The sequence below is a fragment of the Homo sapiens genome, chromosome 15, assembly GCF_000001405.40.
Source record: "Homo sapiens chromosome 15, GRCh38.p14 Primary Assembly".
Taxonomy (NCBI): Eukaryota; Metazoa; Chordata; class Mammalia; order Primates; family Hominidae; genus Homo; species Homo sapiens.
The window spans coordinates 63,276,875-63,292,524 of record NC_000015.10 but is presented as its reverse complement, the minus strand read 5'-3'; the positions used below and the strand labels follow the sequence as shown (position 1 = coordinate 63,292,524).

The 15,650-nt window shown below is 39.2% G+C and overlaps 1 protein-coding gene across 5 annotated transcripts in view, besides 2 other annotated features; it reads right to left on the bottom strand.

Moving 5' to 3' along the window:
* Nucleotides 1-14,920, bottom strand: part of APH1B (aph-1B gamma-secretase subunit) — a 31,522-nt gene extending 16,602 nt beyond the window's left edge. For 3 of the 5 annotated variants that reach the window (XR_007064490.1, NM_031301.4, XM_011522105.4), the window contains exons 1-4: nt 14,789-14,920; nt 13,194-13,364; nt 5,897-5,967; nt 4,979-5,101 (exon numbers count right to left, since the gene is read on the bottom strand). Coding sequence is in view for 4 of the 5 variants with exons in the window: in NM_031301.4 (NP_112591.2) it covers nt 4,979-5,101; nt 5,897-5,967; nt 13,194-13,364; nt 14,789-14,901 (478 nt within the window). In the remaining variant the exon portion in view is untranslated. Of the gene's footprint in view, nt 1-4,978; nt 5,102-5,896; nt 5,968-13,193; nt 13,365-14,170; nt 14,195-14,788 lie in introns of those variants that run through there. The other 2 variants (XM_024450085.2, NM_001145646.2) reach the window with 2 other exon arrangements.
* Nucleotides 14,614-14,893: a silencer, noted in NCBI's record as "silent region_6514". NCBI's record gives its function as "represses an Ori minimal core promoter by ATAC-STARR-seq in GM12878 lymphoblastoid cells {active_cell/tissue: GM12878}" and the evidence as "EXISTENCE:reporter gene assay evidence [ECO:0000049][PMID:35858748]".
* Nucleotides 14,974-15,393: a silencer, noted in NCBI's record as "silent region_6513". NCBI's record gives its function as "represses an Ori minimal core promoter by ATAC-STARR-seq in GM12878 lymphoblastoid cells {active_cell/tissue: GM12878}" and the evidence as "EXISTENCE:reporter gene assay evidence [ECO:0000049][PMID:35858748]".

Sequence of the window (15,650 nt, the reverse complement as noted above, 5' to 3'; positions counted from 1 at the left end):
CCTAGCTACTTGGGAGGCTGAGTGGGAGGATCACTTGAGCCCAGGAGTTCAAGGTTATAGAGAGCTAAGATCATTAACACTGCATTCCAGTGACAGAGTGACAGAGCAAGACCTTATCTCTTAGAAAAAAAGAGAAAGAGAAAACAGATAATGAAAAATACAAATTCGATGATATATACAGCGTATAGAGTATCACTGTATCATAAACAGTAGCAGTTAGTTGTGACAACTTATTACAAGAAATTAAGATTCTAATGAAATCATAAAAGGATAAGAACTGCAGGTTACAATCTATTGTTGATCATTTTTTCTGTATCATTAGGAGATGTTATACTTTCTCTACTACTTTGGAATTTGGAAATGTAGGTATTGAGATAGTCTTGCTTACAAAGAGCTTTCAGTCGAGTCTAAACTTTAACAAACTGCCACACTGTAGAGATTATTCTTAAAATATTACGAATAGAAAAGTGAATGAAAGATAAAAAATGTATTGGGTTACAGTAACAAAAATTTATTCTCATGCTCACAGGTCTAAAGGCTGACTGTGCATTGCTGATAAAGGCTGGGATCAGCTGGAAAACTCTGCTGCAAGCTCCTGGGGTGGGCTCTGTGTGGCTCTGGGTATATTCATTCAAGGGTCCAGGCTAAGTGGCCATTAACTTCCCAAGGTATCTTCTTCTCATGGCACCAGAGTCCAAGAAGGAAGGTCCAATCATGCAAATACTTTTTAAGCCTCTAACTTACATCATAACCACTAATTGGCCAATTCAAGCCACATGACTGAGCTCAAAGTCAAAGGGTAGAAAAGAACATTCCAGCCACCATGAGACTTATTACAGGAAATGACAAATTGGGACAAAAATAATCTCCCACATTCCTCTTTTATTTTCTTCAAGCTCAGTATTTTTCTTTCTTCAGTCATATCCCACAGGCCATGGCTTCTAGATCTTCTATCATACTGACAACATTCTTTCTATATGAATTTTACTTCTTCAGTATTCCTGTTAAATCACAATGCTTGGAACAATACAACACTCCATATGTGGTCTGACCCATATTGGTTTTCCCTTGTGAAACGTTTAGTGGCTAAAAAGTTTAAAAGCTTGCCTAGGTTTTAAGTGCACTGTCTAGAAAATATAATAGAAGTGAAATGGTCTGGGGAATTTTTTAAAATAAAATGATCAGCTGTTCTTTTTTACTAGGTACTAGCTAAAGACATTTTTTCTTCTAAAGCATAAGGGAGGTAATTCGGAATGAAAAACCCAGATTCTATATAATACTAGAAAAATTATCTTCTCTCTGAATTCTGTTTTCTCATCTCAAGCGCTAAATTCTCCACCTTAATAATATTCTTAGGCCAGTTTAGAGCTTATAAGCACTTAAATACATATTCTCTAAATTAATTTCATTTAATTCTCAACAACTCTGAGCTAGGCGTTATTTCTGCCCTTCCTGAAAGATCAGGAAATTGAAGATTAGATGGAAGGACAAGACTTCCTTTGCCCTGTGAACAATACTGCTCTTACCTCCAGGCCTGGAGGAAAGAGGCCTCTTCCCTCTGCCTCGAACATCTTTCTCTGACAACTCCTTTCTTTGCCTGCCTAGCTATTATTCACCCTTTAAGTAAATCTCTACTCGTTATGGCACTTCCTCCATAAGCTGTGCCTGGCTTTCATTTTTCTGTAAGTTATTTATTGAGTGCCATCTAGAAATAAAGGACTCCACAAGATGCCGAGGACAGAGCAGTGAACAATACAGATGTCGTCCTTGCACTTGCATGGCTTAGCACCCAACTGGAGAAAAAGACATTCAACAAATAACTATACCATTACTTAATGACGCCTGTGATAAATGCTGCAAAGCCAAGGTACTGTGGCCTGGGAGCATGGGTTACAGCCTGTCCTTTGTGCCCCATGGCTCTTCCTCATTTCACTGTAGCATTGATCATGCTTTATTGTAATTAGCTGTTTGTCTTTATTCCCCACTATGAATGGAAGTTATGAATGGTAACTGGGCTCTATTTTCATAGCTTGGTATAACTCCTTTAGACTAAAAACATTTAATAATTATGTATGGAATGAGTGATTCAATAATCAAATGGACTTGCCCAAAATACTAAATTAATGAGCCAGGATAAGATTCGAACCTAGGATTCCAATTCCCATACTTTTGTCTCTATACAAAATTACCAAGAAATGGTAATGATTCTAGTAAAATTTAATGCTAGCCTACAACATAACCACAAATAAAAAAGAAGTAACCTATACATAAACATTATTTATAAACTATGCCTGTTTGTAACATAAGAGCCTATGTACACACAGGTATCATATAGTATGGATCTTATTAACACATACTAATATAGACAGATATATACTACAGGCTGAATATCCCTTATCTGAAATGTTTGGGACCAGAAGTGTTTCAAATTTTGAAATATTTGTGCATCTATATATATAAAATGAGATATTTAGGGGATAAGACTCAAGTTTAAACATGAAATTCTTTTTTTTTTTTCTCTTGAAACAGAGTATCCCTCTGTTACTCAGGCTGGATTGCAGTGGGACGATCACAGCTCACTGCAGTCTCAACCTCCCGGGCTCAATGATTCTCCCACCTCGGCCTCCTGAGTAGCTGGGACCATGGGTGGGCACCACCATACCCAGCTGAATTTTTTAATTTTTAGTAGAGACAAGGTCTCACTATATTGCCCAGGCTGGTCTCAAACTCCTGAGCTCAAGTGATTCTCCTGCCTTGGCTTCCCAAAGTGTTGGGATTACAGGCATGAGCCACCACACCTGGCCAAAACATGAAATTCATTTGCATTTCATATATATCTGATACACACAGACTGAAGGTAATTTTACACAATATTTTTAATAATTTTGTGCATGAAACAGTTTTTTCTTGTTCTGACTGTGACCCATCACACAAGGTCAGGTGTGAAATTTCCTACTTGTGGCGTCATGTCGGTGAAGGAAGTTTTGGATGTTGGAGCATTTTTGGATTTTGGATTTTTGGATTAAAAATGCTTAATCTGTAATTAGTGACCCTACATTCCTTATTTATTCTGATTATTATTTAGGCATTTGTAATGGAGTATACTAAACATATAAAGTTATGGATTTACCTGGCAAAAATGAGTTGTGTCTAAATAAATGGTAATTACAAGTAGTTATAAATAACATAAATACAATAAATATAAATTTGGGGATCTTATTTTTAAATGTAATACAAATTAATTTCTTAAATTTATAATTCAAAGTTTATGCTTCAAAGAATGATGTTATAACAGTAAGAAACTTGCAAATGATAAAACAACACTGTTCTTTCATTCTATAGATACAAATTTATAACATAGCCAGTCTGCCATGCTAACTTAGCTAAAGACATTAAGATAGCTTACTGAATATTGAATTTTTCCTTTAATTCCTAGAAATTACAAATACAATCCCCAAATTGGTATCAAATTTTTCTTTTACTACCAAAAGAATCATTTTAAACATCGTATGAAAACAGCCTAGGTCACTAAAGGGAATTAGCACCATCTAGTGAAAAAAGCTGGCAAAACCTGTATATCAAAAGAAAACTGTAGCAGGGAGAGAGAGCCGTGTTAACTGTATATGAAAACAGAAAACAAACTGTAGCACTAACACCCCTTACGATTATGTTTTATTAATTTTCATCGGGTTCTAACAGACTTTACTAATATTACATTTGTTTTAAAGACCTAACACTCAGTATAATCAATCATTAACACATTTGCCAGAAATATGCCAATGATGAAATGTTCAAAAGAAAGATAATTTGCTATGTTGGAAGCACCATTAAATAAGTATGACCCATTAACACACTTTCTTGTCCTCTAACTTGCAGCCAGATTTAAAGGGCCTTGACTCTCTCCTCTAGGCCCTGAAAAGCCAAACCATTTTTGCAGCAGGGAAGATTAGTTAGGTAGTTGCATACAGGATTCACATGAATAGTGTGTCAAGGAAAGACTAACCAGTTGAGGGCAGATGATGGTAAGCCAGAGAGGAGATGTCAAGGCCTGAACTGAAATGGAAACAAAGGGTCTACTGCGAATGGTGAATGAGTGTCCACTGGGCTTGGGGATCACTATGACATTCAACATGCCTCTAAACTACTGCAGAAATTTTTAAAAATTGGTCATACCTCTTTATATCTTTTCCATTATTACCTTAAAGTGTTACTGAAATGCTTATTCACTTTTTTTTCTCTTATTCCCTTATTAGAGGATAAGCTCCCTGAGGAGCTTTAGCATAGATGTTATTAAAAGAAGATACAAATCATGATGTGAACTCAGTTATTTCAATGGCATAACTGTTGTGGAAACGACTAAAAATACAGTGGGTGTTCTCCCCCTATTTTTAAAAGAGTCTTCTTGTGGAACTTAGAAGAAATCTATGTTAATTATGTACGCTACCAACTCTCAAATTTGTGATCACTGCATCATGATGACAATTTTTAGCTCGTGGACGAAAAAGCAATTTGAAATGAGTTGGTCCTTTTAGCTGCATCATTTGGATGAAATGATCAACTCATCTATTATCCCATTTTTCCTCTCAATTTCAGATTAAATTTTACTGCCTATTCCCACAAAAGGCACCACAATGACAATTATAGATTAGGGCTTCTACTGAAGATAACATAAAATCATAAAAACCAAAAAGAGCACATGGCCTTTAAAAATTCACTTCTAACATTTCAACTATATAGCAACATTGTCAGTACAGCAAAATAAAATTTTACGCAAGCTAAATTCCACTCCAAAATTCTAAAACACTCTAACCAGAATTTTTATTTTCCTAAGTCTTTTACTTCACAGTGCCTCAGAGTATTTCGCCTTTAAAAGACATAACATAAATTCCAATCCACTGAAATTCCTAAGCCAGTGAACCCCAATAAGAATGATCATTTAGACTAGAAGCCTGAATGTTGACAGCTATGAGACACATACCTGAATAAAGGAAGAATTGAGGAGAATCTCCATGAATGCCCACTGTGCCTGGCCCCAAGGAGTCAGATAGGGTATTCACAAAGGAAAATACTCCACTCATGATTCCAAAGCCCAAGCCAGAAACTAAACAGGAAGAAAAACACTGTTAACTCTTTTCCTGCCAAGATTTCAAGTCAAATTTCCAAGGACTAGTTAATACAAAGTGTGTTGGAGGGGAAAGGGTGCTTATGTTCTTCCTGAAGCAGTGGACAGCTGGCTCTGGAGAGGCATGTGCTTGGCTAAATGATGAATCAGAGAGGGAAGCGGGAAGAGGAAAGGAAATGAATGGCAGAATGCAGCAGAGTAATGAAAAAGGGGAGAAAAGGGTCTAGAAAGGCACAGAAGAAATAGGTGAGACAGAGGATACAACACCAAAACTCCGGCTTACTTTATGATAACAGAGTCTACAGAGTTAAGTTTGATGGCTTAGAACTGAAATTGAGTGTAAAGGGGAACTGTGTATTCCTGAGCCCAAGTGGGGAACCTAGATCCAATCTTAAACATAATTCTCAAAGTGTAATACGCAGAGATATTAACTGCTTTAATATGAAGAGTACTCCTAGAAAAGCCAAAGTAAGATTCAGAGAAAGTAACAGTTTCATCATCTAGAAAATCTTAGTTAACTAGGGTACATACACATTAAAAATCTAACTTTCAAACCTGGTTAATATACAATGGACATACAGGTAAGGGTCACTTGCAATCATTTTCATTTACAAAAGGAACCTGGAAGACGGGGATAATAAGCAAATATGTACACCAATAGGCCAAGGCAGTAATAAACAACTACTTGAAATCTACAAAGATACAAAAGATGCAAATGACTTTTATGCCAAGTATGATTTTTTTCCTTAATGAAACCATGTGGTTCTAACTTACCATAGGCCAGCAGTCGCATAGAGGGTGCTGTCTCACCTGGGTTTATACTCTTCAAACCTTCACTGGCTTTTCTAAAATAAAACCACACATGTAATTAAGAAGAAAAAAAAAAAAAAAAGGAAGAGCAATATATCAGGAAAGTCCAACAAGACACTTCAAACCCAGATACTCACTGAGGCTTTGCATCAGGTTATACTCTAAATCTGTAATTTATTTAAACAAACCCAGCAAATTTTCAATGAACTAACATCAACCAAAATTGCCAACTAATTTTTACCTTTTGACATTCCCATAAAAGAATAAGAAAAATATAAGTAAACAAGCCGTCAGGAATTGAATTTAAAAAGATAAAAACCGCAACACTTTCAACTGCTTGCTGAACTCGGCAAATATTTAATTCAATATCCTATGGGATCTACCACTCTGATTTTTTTCCCCTTCCCAAAGTACTGTATCCTTATTCCTGCTTTGTTGGCACTTTGTTCTATCTTCCACCAGGACTATACTGGCTCTGTCACCCTCCCTTGTACCTTCCACTCTGTAGAACCTAAACTACACTCATCCTTCAGAGTCCACTTCAGGCAGCGATTTGTTAAAGAAGCTGCCTACCAATGGTTGGTAATCACTAATCTCTCCTTATTCTTAAATCCTATAATACTGATGGTCTGAACTCTCACGAGTATTTAATCATATGATCTTCTGATTCTAAAACGTTTTACATATTTGTTTTATATCACCAATAAGGCTTCAAGGGAGAAAGTGATCTGATACTTTCGTTGTATCTTGCAGAATAAAATGCTACCCTCAGAACAGGACATAAATGAACCCTTGAATGAAAGAACAGAATACTGCTCAAGAGAAAATAATCTTCAGCCGAGCATGGTGGCTCAGCACTTTGGGAGGCCAAGGCAGGAGGATCACTTGCATCCAGGAGTTCGAGACCAGCCTGGACCACACAGCAAGATCCTGTCTCTATTAAAAATAAAATAAAATAAAGAAGTGATCTTCAGAGTGATCTTATGCATCCTTCTGTTGTGGCCAATTTATAAGCTTACCATGAGTGCCATGCAGATTTGTTAGGAATGCTGGTGTGGCTGGTCAATTCTACTAGCATCACTATTACCAATTCTTGTTGGTGAGAAAACTCTGCAATAATGTAAGATCCTGACTCAAAGAATATTTAAATTATATTTACTATAAAGTATATTTATTAAGGCAACAAAAGAACCAAAACATTTTAAAAATGATTTTTTAGCAAATGTTGAAACAAGACAGGTTAACTCTAAGAATAGACAATTAAATTAACCAGAACATACTTACTTTCTGGGCATTGTGTTACTTTAAATTTCAGGGTATGGGTATTCATTATAGTCAGCTTATTCTTTACATAAATATAAATATCATTGATTACATTAAATTAAGGCAATGTAGAATTCAACCAAAATAGGGATAAGCCTAGTGAAGGGAGTGCTTTTCTAGACTCAAAAGAAACAATCTGCCATTTTGGTGCTCTCCATCTGGAAGCATTTGGTAGTGAGGACATGAGCCAGAAATTTAAGTGACCATCTTCTTTCTCTGAAGCAGTAACCAACTAAAATGTCCAATTTTCCTAAAAATAAACTTACCTCTCATAGTGATACCGTTAAAAGTGAATTAAAGCTTATGGGACACATATATAGTAAAAATCTCTGTCAACAAATATATCAATATAGTAGAATCAAAAAATGTGGGAAGATTTCTGTTTTCTATAAATTCCTCGATAATAAATAAAAGACTTGTATCCATGTGGACACAAAGAAGGGAAAAACAGGCCTAGTTGAGACTAGAGTGGGAGGAGGGAGAGGATCACAATTTACCCAGGTAACAAACCTGCATGTGTACCCTTGAACGTAAAAGTTAATAAAATAAAATACAGTTATCTGTTGCATAGCAACATTTCAGTCAACAATGGACTGCACATATGATGGTAGTCATTATTATAATGGAGCTAAAAAATCCCTATTGCCTAGTGACGTCATAATGTTGTAGCATAATGCATCACCCCCCGTGTTTGTGGTGATGTTGGTGTAAACAAACCTAGTGCAATGCCAGTCATATAAAAGCACAGCACATATTGGCCAGGCGCAGTGGCCCACGCCTATAATCTCAGCATTTTGGGAAGTCAAGGCAAACAAGTCACTTGAGCGCAGGAGTTTGAGACCAGGTTGGGCAACATGGTGAATCCCCATCTCTACAGAAAATACAAAAATGAGCCGGGTGTGGTGGTGTGTGCCCATAGTCCCAGCTACCTGGGAGGCTGAGGTGGGAGGATGGCTTGAGCCAAGGAGGTGGAGGCTGCAGTGAGCTGAGATTGCACCACTGCACTCTAGCCTGGGCAACAGAGAGGCCCTGTCTCAAAAAAAAAAAAAAAGCAAAGCACATACAATTATGTACAGTATATAATACTTCATAATGATAATAAACAACTGTTAATAGTTTTTATAAAAAACAACAACAAAGTTAAAAGACTTACACTTCTCCATTTCAAAACTTACTACAAAAGTAAAATATTCAAGATCATCTTATACTGGTGTAAGGGCAGACACACAGATTAACAGAATAAAATTGACAGTCCAGCAATAAACTGTAAATACAGTCAACCGATTTTCAACAAGAGTGCAAGATGATTCAATGAGGAAAGAGAGATGGTCTTTTAATAAATGGTGACAGAACAACTAGATAATCACATACAAAAGAATGAAGGTGGACCATTACCTTACACCATATATAAAAACTAAAAATGAGTGAAAAGTCCAGCTATCAGAGCTAAAACTATAAAACTGTCAGAAGAATACATAGGTGCCAGTCTTCATGACCGTGGGTTGGGTAATGGTTTCTCAAATACATACACCTAAACCACAAGCAACTAAAGAAAAAGTAAACAGATGAACCTCACCAAAATTAAAAACTTTGATGCTACAAAGGACACTATCAAGAAAGTGAAGAGACAACACAGATGGGAGAAAATATTTGCAAATCATATTTGAAAAAGGACTTATATCTACAGAACTCTTACAACTCAATAATAAAAAGACAAATAATCAATTTAAGAGATAAATTGTCTGGGCATGGTGGCTCACACCTGTAATACCAGCATTTTGGGTGGCTGAGGTGGGCGGGTCGCTTGAGCTCAGGAGTTTGAGACCAGCCTGGGCAACATAAGGAGCCTATGTCTCTACCAAAAAAATACAAGTTAGCTGGGTGTGGTGGCACGCACTTATAGTCTTAGCTACTCAGGAGGCTGAGGGTGGGAGGATTGCTTGAGCCCCGGAGGCGGAAGTTGCAGTGAGCCATGATTGCGCCACTGCACTCTAGCCTGGGTGACAGAGCGAGACTGTGTCAATCAGTGAATCAATCAAAGATTTTAGCTATTTGATACAACAAAGTACTACTATCACAAATATATTAAATAAATAAACTAAAAAGTTTAATAAGCTTCCTAATTCTACGTTATGGAAGTACGTGGGAGGAAAACTAACAGCACTAAGAGTTCTCAATGTCAACATCAGGAAGTGAGAAAGTACAAAACATCATCAGTTTCTGGGTTCACGTCCATCTTACTGAAGTGGAAAATTCTTTGTTTGCATTTATTATTATGTTCCCAAGAACAAAAAAAGAAACAATTCAAATTTCAAAAATATAAATTTTGAAAAACTACTGCTAAATCACACCATCTTTCTCATTTGTTCTATCCTTTTTCGAATGTGTGTGTGAGAGAGAGAAAGGAGTATGAATACAAGTTAAATACGCCATTTTCAGAATTTTTAAAAATAGACACGCTGCTTAAAAGTTGTAGCAATGGTTATCTTAATGTTTTTTCTATAAATGGAAGATTTTCTAAAATTACAAAATATTTATGGTATCAACCTTTTAAGACAAAATTGAATTAAATTACAAAAGTTTCCATCCAAACAGAAAAAATCCTAATGTCTGTTTTAGGCAACATACAGGAGTTTCAAGCAACATACAGGAGTTTCAAGCAACATAGAGTTGTCTAAACTGTATGTTTTTGGCAAAATATGATTATATTTTAAGCAACATAACTTGGATTTTAAAAAAATTACTGCAGAAAGGGCTACCACACATGCCAATTTCTCTTTATGCAAGGCTCTGCCAGGCTGAAAGTTACTATTCATTCATGTAAGAACAAGATTAGTAAGATTAAGTGATTAAGGTCTAACTCATGAAATAAAACTATTATTTATTATTAGATTGCAATGAATATTTTGATCCAATTCCATATATTTATAAAAACTGGTATAAACTCTCCACATTTTAATCTTGGCACCAAATTCTGATAGCAAAAGTCTGAGGTAGCACTTTAAATTTAAAAGTTCAAGACCTACTTTGGCAGTGGAGATAAAGTATTGATTAAACCAAACTCCCTATATTTGAATGCAATATAGAATAAGAGAGCAATGTAAATGTATCCATATAAATGTCAGTCATAAATAAAGCATTATAATAATTCTTAAATTGTTTTAATACATCTACATAACATTTAACATTTCTCAAATTTGCTGGGAAAATTTTGAATATTCTAAAGGCTCGTAAAAGATGATTTTTGCAAATGCAAACAAACGTACCTGCTAGTACAAGTCTGTCCTACCATTTGCAAATTTCCAAAGGTCCTTTCAGAAAAGCACACATGGTTTCCCTAGGAACCTAAAGAGGCTTCTCTGAACTTCCTGGCATTCGAGCCTACAGACTGACAGCTTTAATTTCTTCCTCATGTGGTCCTACTCCTTTCCTGCCCTCATTAAAAAAGTGGACACTTGCTCCTCAGTGTAAAAAGAAAATTTTAAAAATTAAAATTAAAAAAAAAAAAAGAGGAACAATAATGTGGATCTATGTTCAGCTACAGTCCTTTGGAGCCCTAAGTTAGTGCCAGGAAAATGTTGCCATTTCAGGTGGAAACCATGAAGATGCAAGGCAGTGAAGAACAGCCCATACTCATTTTGTCACGCTGATAATTCAGGTTTTAGAACATACAAGTCCTAAACTTTAAATTCTGTATTAGAAATTGTGTTTTTTTTTGTTTTTTTTTTTTTTTTTCAAAATTAGACCCATGGCATGAAAATGCATATGGGCCAATGATGTCACTGACAGGAAAACCCAGTGCAATGTGAGGCTGAGCTGTGAAGAGTACAGTGCCCAGTCAGGGGTACTACTTAGTCTGCACTGCAGAATACCATGCTGGGTTCTGAGCACAGGCAAAAACCAGGCGCTGACAAAAAGGGTCATGTCCACTGACCAAAAAGAACAAACAGCCTTTCTTTTGGAAAGGTTTGGAAGCCACAACCATGCCTGTTGAGGTCCAGGTGAAGAAATGAGGACTGTTCATTCTTGAAAGGGAGATAATTATAACCATGCAGCAGAGACTTCATTTACCTGGTACTTGAGTAAGGCAGCGGTCAGAAGGGAGTTTTTGTTTTTGCTTGTTTGTTTTTTTTTTAGACAGGGTCTGGCTCTGTCTCCCAGAATGGAGCACAGTGGTGCAATCACGGCTCACTGCAACCTCCGCCTCCTAGATTCAAGTGATCCTCCCACCTCAACCTCCCGAGGAGCTGGGACCACTATGCCCAGTTAATTTTTGTATTTGTTGTAGAGACAGGGTTTTGCCATGTTGCCCAGGCTAGTCTCGAAATCCTCAGCTCAAGCAATTGGCCTACCTTGCTTTCCCAAAATGTCAGGGTTACAGGCATGAGCCACCAAGCCCAGCAGAGGTAGATGTGGTTACCTTAATGATATTCTACAGTTAAAGCTTAAAATTGTAGAATGGTAGTAACTGCCACATACCAGAAACATTCAAACACAGCTAGATGTCCATCTGTTAGGGATGTTGTATTACCATGGAAATTTCAGTGTTACCTTTGATATTTATTTATTCCCATGTAATATTTCCAGGTACTAATGGGAATTTCATTTTTGAAACTTTTCTAAGATATGATTTTTGCTTCTAAGCAATGGCTTCCTGGATTTCAATTCCTAATTTAAATTCCTTCATTACGAAAAGGGAATTCAGTATCTGGTATTAAAAGCAAAGAGTAACAAATACAGAAAACCTAGCATATTGGCAAGAACAAGTTAACAGAAGCCTATGAAAAGAGTTGTTGTTGAGGTTCCTCTTGGTTATATCCACGAAATTCATGGACAGCCTTAATTACTTCATTTGTACAAATGAAAAAAGACAGCACATTTATCACTCTATTAAGACTTACTACATAATCAAAGCCAATTTCATGACTGCCTGAAAGGAAATATGGTTCCAAGTTCCAGCTGTGTTTCAAATCAGTGGTTTCATGTGAGGTCCTCGTGAGTCCTAGAGAAGACCTACTTTCTGGCCCAACAAGGGAACCCAAGGCATTTTTTAAAATGTGATTTTCTATTATAGATTTAAAACTACAGGAAATACCACAAAAGGAACTCCTGTTTTCCCCTACTAAAGTCAAAATAATGGAAGGCATGGTCTCCATAAGAATTATTTATCTTGGCCGGGTGTGGTGGCTCAGGCCTGTAATCCTAACACTTTGGGAGGCCAAGGTGGGCGGATCACTGGAGGTCAGGAGTTTGAAACCAGCCTGGCGAACATGGTGAAACCCTGTCTCTACTAAAATTACAAAAATTAGCCGGGCATGGTGGTGCACACCTGTAATCCCAGCTACTCGGGAGGCTGAGGCAGGAGAATCGCTTGAACCCAGGAGGCAGAGGTTGCCGTGAGCTGAGATTGCACCATTGCACTCCAGCCTGGGCAACAGGAGCGAAAACTCTGTCTCAAAAAAAAAAAAAAAAAGAATTAACTTAGGTGGTGGCAAAGAGAACATATACATTCTAAGCTGGAATGATTTCTGTAGTTGTTTTAATGCTTCCCTAGCTTGTTTGTCTCCATGACACTTACCTACTATACCAGTGTATTTCTTGTTCATTCATTTATTGTCTGTCTCTTCCTACTATAATATAAGCTCCATGAAGCCAGAGACTCTGTCTTTTAATCACTGATGTATCCCCAGTACCTAGGATAGTGTCTGGGATTGATTCTCAAGAAATATTTTTTTGAATAAAGGAAGAAAGGAAGGAAATAAGAAATTTCCACAAGATAAAAGAACACTCAAGATTTTCAGGCTGGAAATGTACCAATCTCTTGGCTTAGTACTATGTAGGAGGGCATAGATACAATACTATATTCACGTTTCAAATGACCAAATCATAACTAAAATCTAACTGGGGAAAAAAAAGGTAAGGCAGGTATTTAACTTACTTTAAGAGTTTATAATATGCAAATCGGAACATTTCTTGGATATAGACAGAGACAAACGCTCCAAAGATCAGCAGATATTTCTGTGTTGGTCCATCTTTGTTGTCAATAATGACTCTTGCCATGAACCAAACAAGGGACGAAATCAGTAGAGACACCAACCAGAAGAAAGCTCTGAAAAATACGGGAAAAAAAGTTACAAGTGAACATCAGTACAGGATTAATAATGTTTAAAAGCAGGAAAAAAAAAAAAACCTGCTTGAGAAGGAAGAGATTTCTTGACGTTTCAATAAGGAAAAGAAAGTCCTCATAAAGTGATACTCTGATCAGTTGTTCTTAACGGTGCATTTTCCTTGGTGAGACAAACGTGTCCAAGAGGAAGGCTGAGGTTTCCCAACAATTACTTTTTTCAATGACCCTGCTACTTGCAAGTACATCTGCAGACTCTATCTGCCAAGGACTATCTAGCTAGAAACTTGGTTATTTGCTACTCTTTCTAATCAATGCTCTGCCCATTGATGAGCCAAAACAAGAAAATACACAACCCTGATTACTGCAATTTTCATATTCTTAAAACTTACAAGAAATTATGGATTTACTGATCAGATATCTGCAAAGATGAGTATCTTTTCCAGAAAAATATCTACATCTCTATTAATAAAGTGACTGGTATAAAATTCAACTTGAAAACCTGTGTTCTGATCTGGATCAGTATCCAAGCCCTCCAGGTCTTACAGCACCCCTGGGGATTCTAATGATTATAGCAAGCTTTACAGACCCTTCCCAAATCTCTATTATTTTTAAAATGACATGCAGCGAAGCACTTTCAATACGTTTGTGGGAGGTGAAGAAACGCAGAAAAGCGGGAATCATTGGCCTAGTCTGGTGCCAAGAGAGACTCATCAGAGGAGGGGGGATGTGGTATGTGCAAGTAAGAGGCAGGTGATGACTGCGATGGGACACCAGAGTCCGGTATTTACCAAGCTCCCAGAAGGAGACGCACAGTCAGGTGCTTCGGTGTTTTTACAGGTTTCCACCCTTCGGCTGCACAACGGAACCATCCAAAAGGAGCTTAAATTTTTTTTTTTTTTTCTGAAGCCCGAATCCCATCCCCTAGACATTCTGATTCAATGGATCGGGGTGGGGGTGGGCATCGGCATGTTTTAAAGCACCTGGCCACAGGTGATTCTAATAGGCGGAAGTCGCGCACTACTATCCTAAACGCCAATGGTTTTTAACCCTTTGGGGATTACACATGCCTTTGAGAATCTGAGGGAAATTAGGGACTCCCCCTCCAGAAAATGAAGGATGCATATATGAACTTATCCATAATTTTTTTATACAACTTTAGTAGCTTCACGGATCACTAAACCCCACCCATGAGCCCCAGGCAAAAGGCCCTGACCCCCAGTGTGCGCTTCTTCCTAAGAGGGCGAGGCGCCTTTGGGGAGCCGGATCTCCGCTCTCCCCCTCTCAACCCTCCTCCCGTCTGAAACGCAACAAGGTCGAGCCGCGCGGTGGGGGCGCCGAGGGTCGCGGGTAACCCCAGCGGGGGAGGGGAGCCCCGGCGTCCGGGTTTCCCGACGCGACCGCCTCACCCGGCGATGAGGAAGATGATACGCAACGGCTCGGTGGCGATGGTGAAGACATAAAGGGCGAGCGCAGGCCCGAAGGCAATGAAGGCGCAGCCGAAGAACACGGCCGCAGTCATGGCCACCGCGGAAACCGACCCGGGGGCCCGTTGGGGACGCGAGATGCTCCCGGCGCGGGCGGGGTTCGGTGGGTGGGGCTCGGGGTGGGGGGCTAAGCGGGACGCGGGGGGCGGGGCGCGGCTCATGGGCAGGCACGGGGACGGGGGCGGGGCTCGGGGGCGGGGCACGTGGGGGCGGGGGCGGGGCTCGGAGGCGGGGTACGTGGGTCGCGGGGCGAGGCGGGGCGTGGGGGTAAACGCTAGGGCCTGGGGGACTGGGCGGGGCGTGGGCTGAGGGCGCCGGGCGCAGGGGCGGGCTCAAGGCGGTGAGCGCGGACCCCACCGTTGGGCCCTCCGCCCTACCGGGTGTCCGGAAGCGCCAGGGCCACGCCGCAGCTCCTGCTCCCGAGGCGGGCGTCCTCGGCGACGTTAGGGCCCCAGCCATCGCCGCAGCCCCACAGATACACTCCGATCGGGTTCCAGTGCCGGCCGCGAGGTGGTTAAGAGAAGGGAAGCTCCCTAGCCCACCTTCGAGCCGCATGCACCGAGAACAGGCAGAGATTCCAAGTCAACCAAAGAGACTAAACAAAAATGTAGCGCAGGAACAAGCAGGATTCCTTTTTAAATAGGTTTTTTTTTTTTTTTAAGCACATTTTACCGTTTGGATAGTTGCGGGAACTTCGTACTCCATCCTGTATAAAACCTAGGCTGGGATAGCAGTGACCCCGGGGATAACCCACAGATGGTAAAATGATGAAAGAGTGGTGGAA